Genomic DNA, 15190 nt, shown 5'->3' on the forward strand with positions numbered 1-15190 from the left:
AGTCCCAGCTACTTGGGAGACTGAGGTGGGAGGATTGCTTGAGCCCAGGAGTTGGAGGTTACAGTGAGCTATAATTGCACCACTTAATTCCAGCCTGGCTCATAGAGCAAGACCTGTCTCCAAAAACAAAAATGAAGTGCACAAAGGTTGAAATTTCTCCACATTTTTGCCAATACTTGTTATTTTCTGGTTTTTGATAGTAGTCACCCTAATGGATATATCTTTATCATTTTTAAGAATTATTTTTGCTGGATATAGATTTTTCAGTTAATAGGGGTTTTGTTTCAGTTCTTTAAATAAAGATACTATTTCTTTATTTTCTGTCTTAGAATGTCTGCTGCCGTTCTTAATATTTGTTCCATTGTATATGATGTTTTCCACCTGTCTGGTTGCTTTCAAGATTTTTGCATTACCAATTTGGCTATTGTATGCCTAGATTTTTTTTTCTATTGTATTTACTGTTTGGGTTTCTCTCAGCTTCTTAGATGTATGGTTTGTTGTCTTCCTTTAATTGTGAAAAATTTCCAGTTATTTTTAATGATATCTTCTGTTCCATGTGGTTTCTCTTTGGGGCTCCAATTTTAAATGTTAGACTTTTTGAATTGCCCAAAGCTCTTAAATGCTCTATTTTTTTTGTTCATTCTTTTTTCTCTTTATGTTTCATATTGGATAATTTTTGTTTACCTAGCTTCAAGTTCACTGATTTCTTAGCTGTGTCTGCAAAGCTTAGCAAAATATATATTTTTTATCTTGGTTAGCATGGATTTTCCCCTCTGGATTTCCAATTGAATGTTTTTTTAGTTTCCATTTCTCTGCTGCTAGTCGCCATCTGTTTATGCATGTTGTACCATACTCTGCCCTCTTTACTCCTGTACTCTGACAGTGGGTATTTACTTCCTGTGTTTGTCTCTCCTCTGAGTGGATTATCACTCTTTGGCATTCAGTTCACCTGTTTGCTTTGTAACCTCCGCTCCCTAATGAGCTCAAGAAAAGTTACGATTTTGTAATTTATCCTGCTTTTTCTTTCACCCTGTCAGGATGGGAACAGCTTTCTTTTGCAACTTTCTACATCCCAGGTGAAAGCAGGACTTTTATCAGTTTATATACAGAGTTTCAAGATTTCATATAAAGACAACTTGAGAGCTTTTAAAAGTTCAAGGAACTAAATGGAAAGCTATTTTAAAGAAAGTGAGAAGTTTCTAAAAAATGAACCCTGGAAACACTCCTGTAGTTCTCAGATCATACTTGCTTAGTCATGATATAGAGGTTAATATGGGAATCACTTTCCTGTTTTCTTACTCTAATAAGGCAGAAAACAGTAATATTTCAGAGGAGATATGGATTAGTTTATTATCTTTGCATGGTCCAGTTTTGGTACACCTTGGTAATTAGGAATTTTCTTAAAAATCTTTACACCCCACATTATCTATCTTCACTCCTCTTTCTCATATAAAGTTACAATACATAACATTCTGTATGCATGCTTCACACTTTGCTTTTCTGTCTTGACAATGTGTAAATGAGAATGTTTGATATTACCTTACAAACTGTTTTCTACTCAGTAAATGTAACAGCATCTCCTTTCAATATGTTTGGAAAATCTCCATTATAAAGAGTTAAAAATAAAGGAATTCAAAGAGAAACCTACTTTACACATGTTAGATTTGAGATGCTTGTAAGCGATGCAAGTAGAAATTTCATGTGAGAAGTTGGATATACAAGTCTGAAGCCTCAGTATCTCAGAATTAGAGGTAGAATTTGGAAGAGTCATCATTATATAAATGGTATCAAAACCTTGGAATTGGAACTGGAACTTCTAGCCTGGGGAGATGCCAACATTGAGAGGAAAGGAATAAAAATGAGTGAGTGGGCAGAAAGTGGAAGAAAACCAGGAGAGTATAGTGACATAGGAGCCAGTAAAAGAATATATTTCATTCAACTCAAGAATGTTCCTAAATGTGGGAGTATGCTGAATACAGAATTTTAAGTGAGGACTGTGGACTTAGGTGGTAGGTTTGGGGGTCATTAGCTGGCAGATGGTTTTAGAAGTCTTCACTGTGAATACCTGTGGGTAAGTAGATAAAGTGAAGAGAAAGCTGAGAGAGCCATGAAAGGTAAGCAGAGTAAGTTCATGAACTGTTACATTTGAATTTGTACAAACCAAATCTTTCTATGTGGTTATCATTAAAAGCTTGTAAGCACTGTAAGTCCATTTATATTTCTATTCCTAAAGGGGTTTTAAGCAAAAATGTTTATATATTTCTGGAATTCTGAATTAGAGGAGCTTTGATACTTTGCAGCTGACAGTTATCGTGACAGTTTGACAGTATTTAGGTTTATGGTAATTCATCTAATCCCTTTCTGTAGTCTCCAGGATGCCTTTGGAATGAGCTGTTATTCACCTAAAATTCCGTGATACTTTAGTAATAGGATAGGTTTTTTGCCACATACCACTGACTAGATCTAGATCTTAGAGTCTTTTTCTATAAGCTCTTGCAAGAAAGAATCAAGTGTTGTTTACATTTTCTAACACTGTTATACCCAGTGGCAAATGCAAAGACATAAACAAATACTTTAGTTATGATCAGCTCGTAGGAAGTGGGAGGACCCCAGCTTTATCTTAAAATCATTATGTATACTGGAAAGAAATTGATTCAAATGCATTCACCATAAAACTATGGATGGAGAACCTCATTTTATTAATCACACTAGGACCTATGCCAGCATTGCTTCATCTTTGGCTTTTGTTATATCCTGTTTTGTTAAGTTAAAAAGCAGTTAAATTTTTTTTCACCTACACCCCATTAGTAAAAAGAAATTTTCGAACACTTTCCCATATGTGTATATATAACTGTTTATATATAAAGTACCTACATGTATCACTGTTCTAGTATAATCAGTATGTTATAAAGCATACAGAGAATAAGGGTATTTGAAAAGAACGAGGAAGAAAATGAATCATCTTGTAAACTTCCTGACTGCACACACCACAGAGAGATCATTTGTCTTTTTCGAGACATAGGAGTTAGTTCTTTTTTTCTGATTATGCTTGTAATGGGTCCTTCAGGTTCTTGTGTATGATATCTAAGCAATTTAAAAAATTGATAACCAAGGCCCAGAAGTAAACTTACATTCATGGTTAATATTATTGATCCAGGACCTCATATAATGCAAGTTTTTCTAATCATGGGAACCTTATTGACTAAGCAAACAAAAGCTTGTAATTTTTTATCATTGTTTGTCAGTACATTCCATAATTTACAAGTTTGAAGTTGTAATGGTCAATGTTAAAGTTATATTAGGAATACTAATTTTACTAACCTTATTTTTCTTTCAGATGACATTAAAGTATCAGTAAATGATTTTATCATCAAGGCAGCAGCTGTTACCCTTAAAGTAAGTAGCAGACTTCAAATGATTTTGTCTTCTTAAGTAGTTTCATGTCGTGGAATTTTTACAATGACAAATAGAACTCTTATTTTTAAATCACAAAAATTTTATAATTGTCTTGCTAAAAATATCCTATCGTTTGATCTCCCTCATTTTACAAATGAAGAAACTGTAAATCAAAAGGGCTCACAATGAATTAGAGCAGGATGAAAACCATTTATTCTAGGCATTAGAGATAGAGCAGTAAACAAAAGCTTACTTGATTTCTGCTGTCCCTGGGGCTTACATTCTAGTTGGAGGAGACAAACACTATTATATGTCAGATGGTGAAAGTGCTGAGGAGAAAAAGAAAGGATAAGGGGACAAAGTAACTAGGGGTGATTTTTCAAAAGGGAAGCGAGGGAAGCCCCTCTGACAAGGCGATAATTTAGATACGGCCTGAGAAAACAGAGGGAGTGAGCCACATAGGTATGTGGTAAAAGTGCATTCCACACAGAGGGACCAGCAAACACCAAGGCTGCAAGCAGAGGATCGCATTAACCAAAGATGTGGTGCTGAGGGTGGAATGTGCCTAGTATGGAGAGGTGGGAGATAAGATTTAAATAACAGTGGGAGAGCATGAAGGGGAACCCAAGTACATGAGGCCTTGTTGGACATGGTGAGGACTAGGGATTTTATTATGGGTGAGAAGGAAGCCTTTGGAGGGTTTTGAACAAATAACTAATGTGATCTGACTTATACTTCAGAAACGAAAAGGAGAGGCTGCCCTGGGTGCTGTGTAGAATGTAGCCTGTGGAGAGGCAAGGGAGGAGACGATGAGCTCCCCTGGGAGGCTTTAGAAGATCACAGTGGCTTGGACAAATGTGGTAGCAAATGGAGCTAGGGTGAAGTGGAGATTTGTGTTATGTTTCAAAAGTAGAGCCAACAGGATTTGCTGATGGATTGGATATGGGGTGTGAGAAAGAGAAACAAGCATTTTGGCCCAAGCAATGGGAGGAATGAGTTTTCCATGTACTAAGATTGGGAAAACTGGGAGGGGTATAGCTTTGGGTTAAGGAATCTAGAGTTTGGTTTTAGACATGTTACATTTGAGGAGCCTAACAGATATTCCAGTGGAGGTGGCAGGAAGGCAGGTGAACATATGAGCCTGCAGTTCAGTGGAGGTGATGTAAACCTAGCTGGCTGGAGTTGTAAATCTAGAACCCAGGCTTCCTGCCTTCCTGCCTGGCACTATTTTTCATCATGCCTCCTTTCTGTAACGAGGCTATTTTCTGGGATCACTGCTTGTTAACAGACTGTATTTAAAGTACATTTATAATTAACTTTTTATTTCTTGAAAAATACATTAATGAGGGTTCCATGGTGTAATGGTTAGCACTCTGTATTCTGAAAATTACATTAATACAGAACTTAAAAAGCATGCCCTTTCAGCAGTATCTAATTATTCATATAACTTTTCTCTTTTGATGAAATATTTTGAATTATATTAATGATTTAATTAATTGACTATTATTGTGATTGATATCATTAATTGTGAATCATTTTTGCACTCCTTAAATAAATCTCTAATGGGCATAAGCTATTCGTTAATATTTCATTGGATAATGTTTGTATCCAGAGTCATAAGTAGTGGTAATTTAAATTTTGTGCCAACATTATCAGACCTTTTTTCCCTAATCATTGGCTTCATTAAATGAATTTGGATTATTTCTTCTTTTCTTTCCTCTGTACACATTTCAATATTATAAATTTTTTTATATTTTCTAGTTTCATAGAATTCACCAGTAAAAATATCTGAACCTGCTTCTATTTTGAGGAGGGGATCTTGGCAGCTTTCCCTTTTTTTTTTTCTTTCACCATAATTACTGATCTGTTTTAATTTTCAGCTTTTTTAAAAAATCAATTTTAAAAGCTTATATTTTCCCAGAAAATCACTCATTTAATTTAGATTCCCAAACTTACTAGCCTAGAGTCATTTTGTTTCTTATAATTATTTTAACATCCTCAGTGCCTGGGGTTATTCTGACCTCTATCTCACTTCTATTGCATATTTATATATTCTTAGCTTGTATTGTTTTGTTATGTATTTTTTCCTTCATTTCCTTAGATTCATTTTGGTCAGAACTTTAATGTGTAATTCATTTTAATTTTTTTTAATAAGGTTTAAGATAGTTTCTTTTTTTTTTTTTTGAGCAGCAGCAAGATTTATTGTGAAGAGCAAAAGAACAAAGCTTCCACAGCATGGAAGGGGACCCGAGTGGATTGCCCTAAGATAATAGATTTTTAATGCAACTTTGACCGTGTCCCATAAGTCTTCTTTACATTTTGTAATTAAATTTATTTGCCATATATTCTTCATTCATGAGGGTTTTGTTTAGTTTCTCTTTTACTTTAGTGTTGTCTATGAAGAATTTCAAATCTTCTGAGGGTTTGGGACTTTATTCTTTTAACATAATGATATTGTTGAATGAGTGAAGGAACTCAGCCTTGAAAGATGGAAAAATGGAAGAGCAATTGAAAAGCAATGTGAAGGTAGCCTTGCAATGGAAATGAGCGTAGCATGACAGTGAGCCAAGTGGAAAATTCATCTCAGGGGAGTGGTCACAAGTAAAATGGGATAGATAGAGTGGAATCAAATTGTATATTGCCATGCTTAAATGACATACCAGGAGGCCTGGATCTTTTTCTTTAGAAAACAAAGAATTTTTGAGAACAGAAATTTGTTTTCAGTTTCTGTTTTTCAGCATCATTTTCACCTGTGATACAGGGCAAGATTATTAATAGGCAGGGTTTCCAGGCATTTCATCATTTGATGAAATCTTTTTTTTTATTATTATTATACTTTAAGTTTTAGGGTACATGTGCACAATGTGCAGGTTAGTTACATATGTATACATGTGCCGTGTTGGTGTGCTGCACCCAGTAACAAGTCATTTAACATTAGGTATATCTCCAAATGCTGTCCTTCCCCCCTCCCCCAACCCCACAACAGGCCCGGGTGTGTGATGTTCCCTTTCCCTGTGTCCATGTGTTCCCATTGTTCAATTCCCACCTATGAGTGACAACATGCGGTGTTTGGTTTTTTGTCCTTGAGGTAGTTTGCCGAGAATGATGGTTTCCAGCTTCATCCATGTCCCTACAAAGGACATGAACTCATCATTTTTTATGGCTGCATAGTATTCCATGGTGTATATGTGCCACATTTTCTTAATCCAGTCTATCATTGTTGGACATTTGGGTTGGTTCCAAGTCTTTGCTATTGTGAATAGTGCCACAATAAACATATGTGTGCATGTGTCTTTATAGCAGCATGATTTATAATCTTTTGGGTATATACCCAGTAAAGGGATTGCTGGGTCAAATGGTATTTCTAGTTCTAGATCCCTGAGGAATCGCCACACTGACTTCCACAATGGTTGAACTAGTTTACAGTCCCACCAGCAGTGTAAAAGTGTTCCTATTTCTCCACATCCTCTCCAGCACCTGTTGTTTCCTGACTTTTTAATGATTGCCATTCTAACTGGTGTGAGATGGTATCTCAGTGTGGTTTTGATTTGCATTTCTTTGATGACTAGTGATGATGAGCATTTTTTCATGTGTCTTTTGGCTGCATAAATGTCTTCTTTTGAGAAGTGTCTGTTCATATCCCTCGCCCACTTGTTGATAGGGTTGTTTGTTTTTTTCTTGTAAATTTGTTTGAGTTCATTGTAGATTCTGGATATTAGCCCTTTGTCAGATGAGTAGATTGCAAAAATGTTTTCCCATTCTGTAGGTTGCCTGTTCACTCTGATGGTAGTTTCTTTTGCTGTGCAGAAGCTCTTTAGTTTAATGAGATCCCATTTGTCAATTTTGGCTTTTGTTGCCATTGCTTTTGGTGTTTTAGACATGAAGTCCTTGCACATGCCTGTGTTCTGAATGGTATTGCCTAGGTTTTCTTCTAGGGTTTTTATGGTTTTAGGTCTAACATTTAAGTCTTTAATCCATCTTGAATTAATTTTTGTATAAGGTGTAAGGAAGAGTTCCAGTTTCAGCTTTCTACATATGGCTAGCCAGTTTTCCCAGCACCATTTATTAAATAGGGAATCGTTTCCCCATTTCTTGTTTTTGTCAGGTTTGTCAAAGATCAGATGGTTGTAGATATGCCGCATTATTAAAATTGACACCCTAACATTATAACTAAAAGAACTAGAGAAGCAAGAGCAAACAAATTCAAAAGCTAGCAGAAGGCAAGAAATAACTAAGATCAGAGCAGAACTGAAGGGAATAGAGACACAAAAAAACCTTCAAAAAATCCATGAATCCGGGAGCTGGTTTTTTTGAAAAGATCAACAAAATTGATAGACTGCTAGCAAGACTAATAAAGAAGAAAAGAGAGAAGAATCAAATAGACGCAATAAAAAATGATAAAGGCGATATCACCACCGATCCCACAGAAATGCAAACTACCGTCAGAGAATACTATAAACACCTCTACGTAAATAAACCAGAAAATCTAGAAGAAATGGATAAATTCCTCGACACATACACCCTCCCAAGACTAAACCAGGAAGAACTTGAATCTCTGAATAAACCAATAACAGGCTCTGAAATTGAGGCAATAATTAATAGCTTACCAACTAAAAAAAGTCCAGGACCAGATGGATTCACAGCCGAATTCTACCAGAGGTACAAGGAGGAGCTGTTACCATTCCTTCTGAAACTATTCCAATCAATAGAAAAAGAGGGAATCCTCCCTAACTCATTTTATGAGGCCAGCATCATCCTGATACCAAAGCCGGGCAGAGACACAACAAAAAAAGAGAATTTTAGACCAATATCCCTGATGAACATCGATGCAAACATCCTCAATAACATACTGGCAAACCAAATCCAGCAGCACATCAAAAAGCTTATCCACCACGACGAAGTTGGCTTCATCCCTGGGATGCAAGGGTGGTTCAACATACGAAAATCAATAAACTTAATCCCGCATGTAAACAGAACCAAAGACAAAAACCACATGGTTATCTCAGTAGATGCAGAAAAGGCCTTTGACAAAATTCAACAACACTTCATGCTAAAAACTCTCAATAAATTAGGTATTGATGGGACGTATCTCAAAATAATAAGACCTATTTTTGACAAACCCACAGCTGATATCATACTGAATAGGCAAAAACTGGAAGCATTGCCTTTGAAAACTGGCACAAGGCAGAGATGCTCTCTCTCACCACTCCTATTCAACATAGTGTTGGAAGTTCTGGCGAGGGCAATCAGGCAGGAGAAAGAAATAAAGGGTATTCAATTAGGAAAAGAAGAAGTCAAATTGTCCCTGTTTGCAGATGACATGATTGTATATCTAGAAAACCCCATTGTCTCAGCCCAAAATCTCCTTAAGCTGATAGGCAACTTCAGCAAAGTCTCAGAATACACAATCAATGTGCAAAAATCACAATCATTCTTATACACCAATAACAGACAAACAGAGAGCCAAATCATGAGTGAACTCCCATTCACAATTGCTTCAAAGAGAATAAAATACCTAGGAATCCAACTTACAAGGGAGGTGAAGGACTTCTTCAAGGAGAACTACAAACCACTGCTCGATGAAATAAAAGAGAATACAAACAAATGGAAGAACATTCCATGGTCATGGGTAGGAAGAATCGATATTGTGAAAATGGCTATACTGCCCAAGGTAATTTATAGATTCAATGCCATCCCCATCAAGCTACCAATGAGTTTCTTCAAAGAATTGGAAAAAACTATTTTAAAGTTCATATGGAACCAAAAAAGAACCCGCATTGCCAAGTCAATCCTAAGCCAAAAGAACAAAGCTGGAGGCATCACGCTACCTGACTTCAAACTATAGTACAAGGCTACAGTAACCAAAACAGCATGGTACTGGTACCAAAACAGAGATATAGACCAATGGAACAGATATCTCTTTTAAATAGGGATGTCATGTATTGAGGGCCTGCTGATATATATCCCAGAGCTGGGCTAGAAAGTAAGGAATAATGTGATCTAATATTATTACCTGTTTCCACTCTCCTCCTCCCCTCAAGATCATGTTCGTTATCATATGAGGTAGGAAGTACAACAGACATTAAATAACTTCTTGCAATCAGGAAAGAAAGCCCTTTTTCCCCACCATGATATAAAGGATCAAAACATGTACCTCATCAGAATTTCTTCAAACTTGCTTCAAAAAGGTGGTATGTTTAATTATTCTTGGCAAACATAAAAGATAATTGACACAGAACTCCATACCATTTTTTCAAACGAAATTTTTATTTATTTTCTCTTATCTAGCTATGTTCACTTTGGAAAATGCACAATGATTTTATTTTTCTGTAACCGCCTTGGTCTAAAGCTGCTTTTTTAGTAACATTTTTCTTTTTCTATTTCTAGCAAATGCCAGATGTTAATGTAAGCTGGGATGGAGAGGGCCCAAAGCAACTGCCATTTATTGACATTTCAGTGGCTGTGGCAACAGATAAAGGCTTACTTACTCCAATCATAAAAGATGCTGCTGCTAAAGGTATCCAGGAAATTGCTGACTCTGTAAAGGTATGTCTTAAGAAAGAGTGTGCTTTCAAAATGTTAGCATATACTTTTGGATAATTACTTTCTGATAAAGTTGTGACGTAATCTAGTCAGACTGTGATTTTTGTGTGTGTGAAGGGGAGAGTTATTTCATCAAGTGATTGTCACATATATATAGGTTTTTAAAGTTTTTATCCAAGTATGACCCATTGTAAGAAAATTTAATATTCAAAAATTAAGAGATAATATATAAACAAATTAGGGAACAACTTCATGCTAAAGACAAGCTTTATTTTCCAAAGTCCAGAATTCAGCCATAAAGATGCTATATCAGGTAGGTTTTAAAGTTGAAGTTAAGCTGAAACTGTATTTCTATGGACCTCAATATTAATAACATTTTATTCTTAAAGTGTATTTACTTCTTCTCTAAAATTGAGACCATTAAAAGAACTTAGCGGCCAGGCGCGGTGTCTCACGCCTGTAATGCCAGCGCTTTGGGAGGCCGAGGTGGGTGGATCCCGAGGTCAGGAGATTGAGACCAACCTGGCCAACGTGGTGTAACCCCATCTCTACTAAAAATACGAAAATTAGCTGAGTGTGGTGGCGCGTGCCTGTAATTCCAGCTACTCGGGAGGCTGAGGAACAAGAATCACTTGAACCCAGGAGGCAGAGGTTGCAGTGAGCCGAGATTGCGCCACCGTACTCCAGCCTGGCAACAGAATGAGACTCCATCTCAAAAAAGAAATGGACGTAATGTTCCAGAGGCAAAGTTACTTTATTTTTTCAGGATTTCTTGAAAAGCAGTTTTTGTAACTCCAATGTGTAGGAATCTTATTTCACCAAAAAATAGTACATCGAATAGGCAAGAACACAGGCAGTAGGGCAGCTTTGACAGCCTCAGTAATTTCCAAGGGTATTTTTTGACAGAAGTATCACAAGTCTTAAAGTGATTGCATCGAAAATTTCTGATTCATTTGGGTAAGTGATTATCTTTCCATTTGCCAAGGACCTGTTGTATGTATAGTGGTAGAACAATTTGTATATTTATAAGGGAGATATGAGGTAGAACGTAAGACTTCTTTGGGGAGCCGACAGTACATAAATGTGTAGACCTTCTTGCTCAAAAGAAATAAGTGCAAGTTAATCTGGTTTTAAAAGCATACCCATAAATACTGAGTTTACTTGGAATTTTAGAGGTAGATATAATTAAAGGTGAACCTACTAGAATCAATATTTTTAGGTCTTTCTTCCCTCCTCTTTGAAAAGATTTGCAGAAAGTGTTTGATCGATAAAAATGCAATTGTTAATTGAAAAATGAGGCTGCACATGGTGGCTCATGCCCGTAATCCCAACACTTTGGGAGGCTGAGGCAGGCAGATCACTTGAGGTCAGGAATTTGAGACCAGCCTGGCCAACATGGCGAAACCCCATTTCTACTAAAAATACAAAAATTAGCTGGGCATGGTGGCACACACCTATTATCTGAACTATTCGCGTGACGGAGGCATGAGAATTGCTTGAACCTGGGAGGCAGAGGTTGCAGTGAGCTGAGATTGTGCCATTTGCACTGCAGCCTGGATGACAGAGCAAGACACTGTATCTCAAAAAAAAAAAAAAAAAAAGAAAGGTAGCGTTTATTTGGTCAGTTCAAAAGTCAAAGTAATAGAGATTGGTTTACTGAGATATAGTATGTTCCTTGTGTTTATCAAGGGTTTTCAGCGACAATGAGAATATTTGTGTCTGTGTTTTTGTGAAGGTTAAATGAGATTAAGTGTTGAAACAACCTGTAAAATATAAAGTACTATTATAATGTTATGGAACTTTATTGTAGAGCTAGAATTTCCTTATTTTTATATACATTAAATTTTAAAAATTAACCATTATAGGAAGATTTCCTTGATTCTGAGCAATTTACCAAATTTACTGCTATAATACATAAGTCGTAAGTAGTTATGTTAGCTTTCTCTATTCCTTGCATCCTGAAGACTCTAAGTTTAAGAGGTAAGAACGCAGTCTCACCAGCCTCTCAGTTGGGCCTCACAGCAATGGGAAGGGCAGTCATACCACTTTGGAGTGTAGTGGTCTCTGGCGGGCCTTGGGCATTTCCTGTAACCCCCAACAGGGACTCAGGGTTTGCTGAGCTATGGCTGCCCGTTAGCTTCTCATTCTACCTGCTTCTCTTTCCCACCCTGCTCTCTTCACTCTTGTTCTTACGCTATGCCAGGCACTGGGCTAAGTGCTTCATTTAATCCTATTAACCCAGTACAATTGGAACCTTAACTTCTCCATGAAATTGAGGAGATTCAGTTTTAGCAACTTTGATAAATTTGCCCAAGGCAATACAGCTAGAAAGCAGTGGCAATGAGGACTAGTTAACCCAGGCAGTTTGATTCTAGAGCCACTGCTTAATGAGCTTTCTATTATACCACCTCTCTCCTTGCTTTTACTGTTTACCTTTCTTTTTTCCTGTCTAATCATTCACTTCTTTACCTCCCCTTTGTCTTTTTCTCCCGCAAAGTTACCAGAAAGGAGGGTTTGGTTTGGTCCTCAAGTAGTACTTTCTTGTATGAAGTACTCTTGCTGGGCAGGTCTGTCATGCCAGGCCAGTGTGTCACATGGTACAGAGCATAACAACCTGATGAATATAATCACCTTTGGTTGTACTCGGAAAAAATAAGGGGACATTGAAGCACACTGAGGCCTCTCATGAGAAACAGGCACCTTGCATGGCCTATTTAACATAATAGTTCTGTAGTTTACAGGAGAGAGAGAGAGCAAAAGAGAAAGAAAGTTTATGTGTGTGTGTGTATGTGTAAGAGAGAGAGATCTGAGCTCCTGCAAAATTAGTTTTTTGTTGAAGTGGTTTATCTTGTAAGCATGATTATCTTAAAAACTTAAATGTTGGATTGTTTAAACGGTGGCTTAAAAACTAAATATTTTAGATAGGCTCTATAGAGATATGTTCATTTAGCTGCTGTGGATGAATAGGCATTAAAAATAAGTATGCACCAAGTAGAAACCCTGAGTGTGTGTGTGTGTGTGTGTATGTGTGTGTGTGTTCTTCACGTCCAATATAGATTTTGACTCAATTCCAAGTTAAGCAAGATTATATTGAATTCAGCTTTACTGTGCAAAAAACAGCATCTGCCTGAGTGTCCACGTATAGTAGTGAGTCACCTTTGGTAATAAATGCATTTTCTGTCCTGTGCTTTAATGTGGTTATATTTTACCGCATCCCCCAAAAAGGGTAGACAGTAAATGTTACATTTATGGAATAGTAGTGCCATTTTATACAGTTTGAGTCTCGTCAGTATTTCTACATCAAGCTTTGTACTATGGCTTATTTAAAAAGTAGAATGTTTATGTATTTAAACAGATAAAATTTAGAATGATTTTAATTCCAGGGTAAAATCTGCTCCGACCAGAGAGAAAAAACTAATTCATATATGAATATAGTATTTGTAATCCTCTTGTTTAAAGACATGCAAGTTCTAGAAGTATTTGTACTGCTTAATGTTTTAACAACTCTAACAATAATAGCAGCGGGCATACTTTGTACCAGTTTTTGCTGTAAGCCTTTTATATATATTAATCCTCTTTAAAACCACCCTATCAAGTACAAGATAATAATTTGATATGGTTGATGAAGCAACTGATGGGAAAAAAGAGAGGTTAAATAATTTGCCCCAAATCTTATTAAGTGATGTAGCCAGCATCTGAACCCAATCAGACTGTAGACTAGAGCCTCCTCCCAACCACTCAGCTTTGCTGCTTCCCACATACTAGTTACATAACTACTGTATGACTATAGAGGTCAGGTTATCAGCCTTCTAGAATCAGTAATGTTTTCTGTCAAAAAAAAAAAAAAAAGAAACTTGAGAAGCAGCTCCTGGATTTTCAGAAATTAACAAGAAGAATAGCTAAGGACTCAACAGTTATACCAAATGCACCATAATTAGTTGATTCACCAGGTAGAAGAAAAGGAGTACAATCATTGGTTTTCTGTGTCTGTAAGACCAATCTTTTGGTTTGGAATTTGAAATATTGGAGTTCTCTCTTATCCAAGGTTTCACTTTGTGTGGTTTCAGTTACCCGTGGTCAACCACAGTTGAAAATAGATGAGTACTGTACAAGCTATTTTGAGAGAGACCACATTCACATGATTTTTAGAGTTATAATTGTTCTGTTTTATTATTAGTTATTGTTAATCTCTTACCATGCTTAATTTTTAAATTAAACTTTATCATAATTGTGTATGAGTAGGAAAAAATAGTACAGTCATGCATCACAGCAGGGATACATTCTGAGAAATGCATGGTTAGGCGATTTTGTCATTGTGTGAACACCATAGAGTGTGCTTACACAAACCTAGATGGGATAGCCTGCTACACGCCTAGGCTTTGTATGGTACAAACCTGCAGTACAGCCTATTACTGTACTGAATAGTATAAGGAAATAGTGATACAATGGTACGTATTTGTGTGATAGGAATTTTTCAGCTCCATTTTAATCTTATGGGACCACTGTCATATATTTATGTCTTTGTCTTAAGTGTCCTTATGCGGCACATGACTGCATGTATAGAGTTCAGTACTATCTGCCATTTCAGGCACCTACTGTGGGTCTTTGAAGTATCCCCTGCAGATAAGGGGGGACTACTGTATGCAACTGGGAGAAAAAAAGGGTTAAGAAAGAAGAGACCTGAGTCAAACGGGAGAGTACTCTGCCAAAGAAGCAGTGAAGATTCCCCGAGGAATGTGAGGTTGTGGTCTTAGCAAGTAGGCAGTGGATAAGAGAACCTGCAGCAAAGAAACCAAGGCTCTCTACCTGGTGAGGCAGGAGTAGTCTTTTTGAAAAGACTGTGGGATCATGGACAGGTTGAGCTCTGGATTCTCACTAAGAGACATACTATCCAGTACACACTTCCCTCTGATCGTCACTTGGCTGGCTTTTTTTCATCATTGGTTTCTCAGTTCAGTTGCTAATTTCTTAGGCCTTCTGCAGCTTCTGTAGCTGAAATAGTTTCCTAACACTCTTTATCTCATTACCCTGTTTTATTGTCTTCATATGGTTTATTAGTCTTTGAAATTACCTTGTTTATTTATTTGTTCACCCTTCTGTGTTCCCTACTGTCTGATGTTCACTGTCCATTGCCATTTATCTAATTCTAGAAGAGTGCTTGGGATACAGTAGTTGCTTGGTGAATTTATTTTAAAACAAATTTCAGTAAAACTTGTTTCATTGAAATTAATTTTTCAAGAGTTTGTGGCTC

At 36.8% G+C, this 15190-nt stretch overlaps 1 protein-coding gene across 4 annotated transcripts in view; it reads left to right on the forward strand.

The window, feature by feature from the left end:
• The window catches only part of PDHX (pyruvate dehydrogenase complex component X), an 80209-nt gene that overhangs the window by 58867 nt on the left and 6152 nt on the right, over nt 1-15190 (forward strand). For 3 of the 4 annotated variants that reach the window (XM_011520390.2, NM_001135024.2, NM_003477.3), the window contains exons 8-9: nt 3338-3396; nt 9784-9942. In XM_011520390.2, coding sequence (XP_011518692.1) covers nt 3338-3396; nt 9784-9942 — 218 coding nt within the window. The remainder of the gene's footprint in view (nt 1-3337; nt 3397-9783; nt 9943-15190) is intronic. The other variant, NM_001166158.2, reaches the window with a different exon arrangement.

The sequence above is a fragment of the Homo sapiens genome, chromosome 11 (assembly GCF_000001405.40).
Source record: "Homo sapiens chromosome 11, GRCh38.p14 Primary Assembly".
Taxonomy (NCBI): domain Eukaryota; kingdom Metazoa; phylum Chordata; class Mammalia; order Primates; family Hominidae; genus Homo; species Homo sapiens.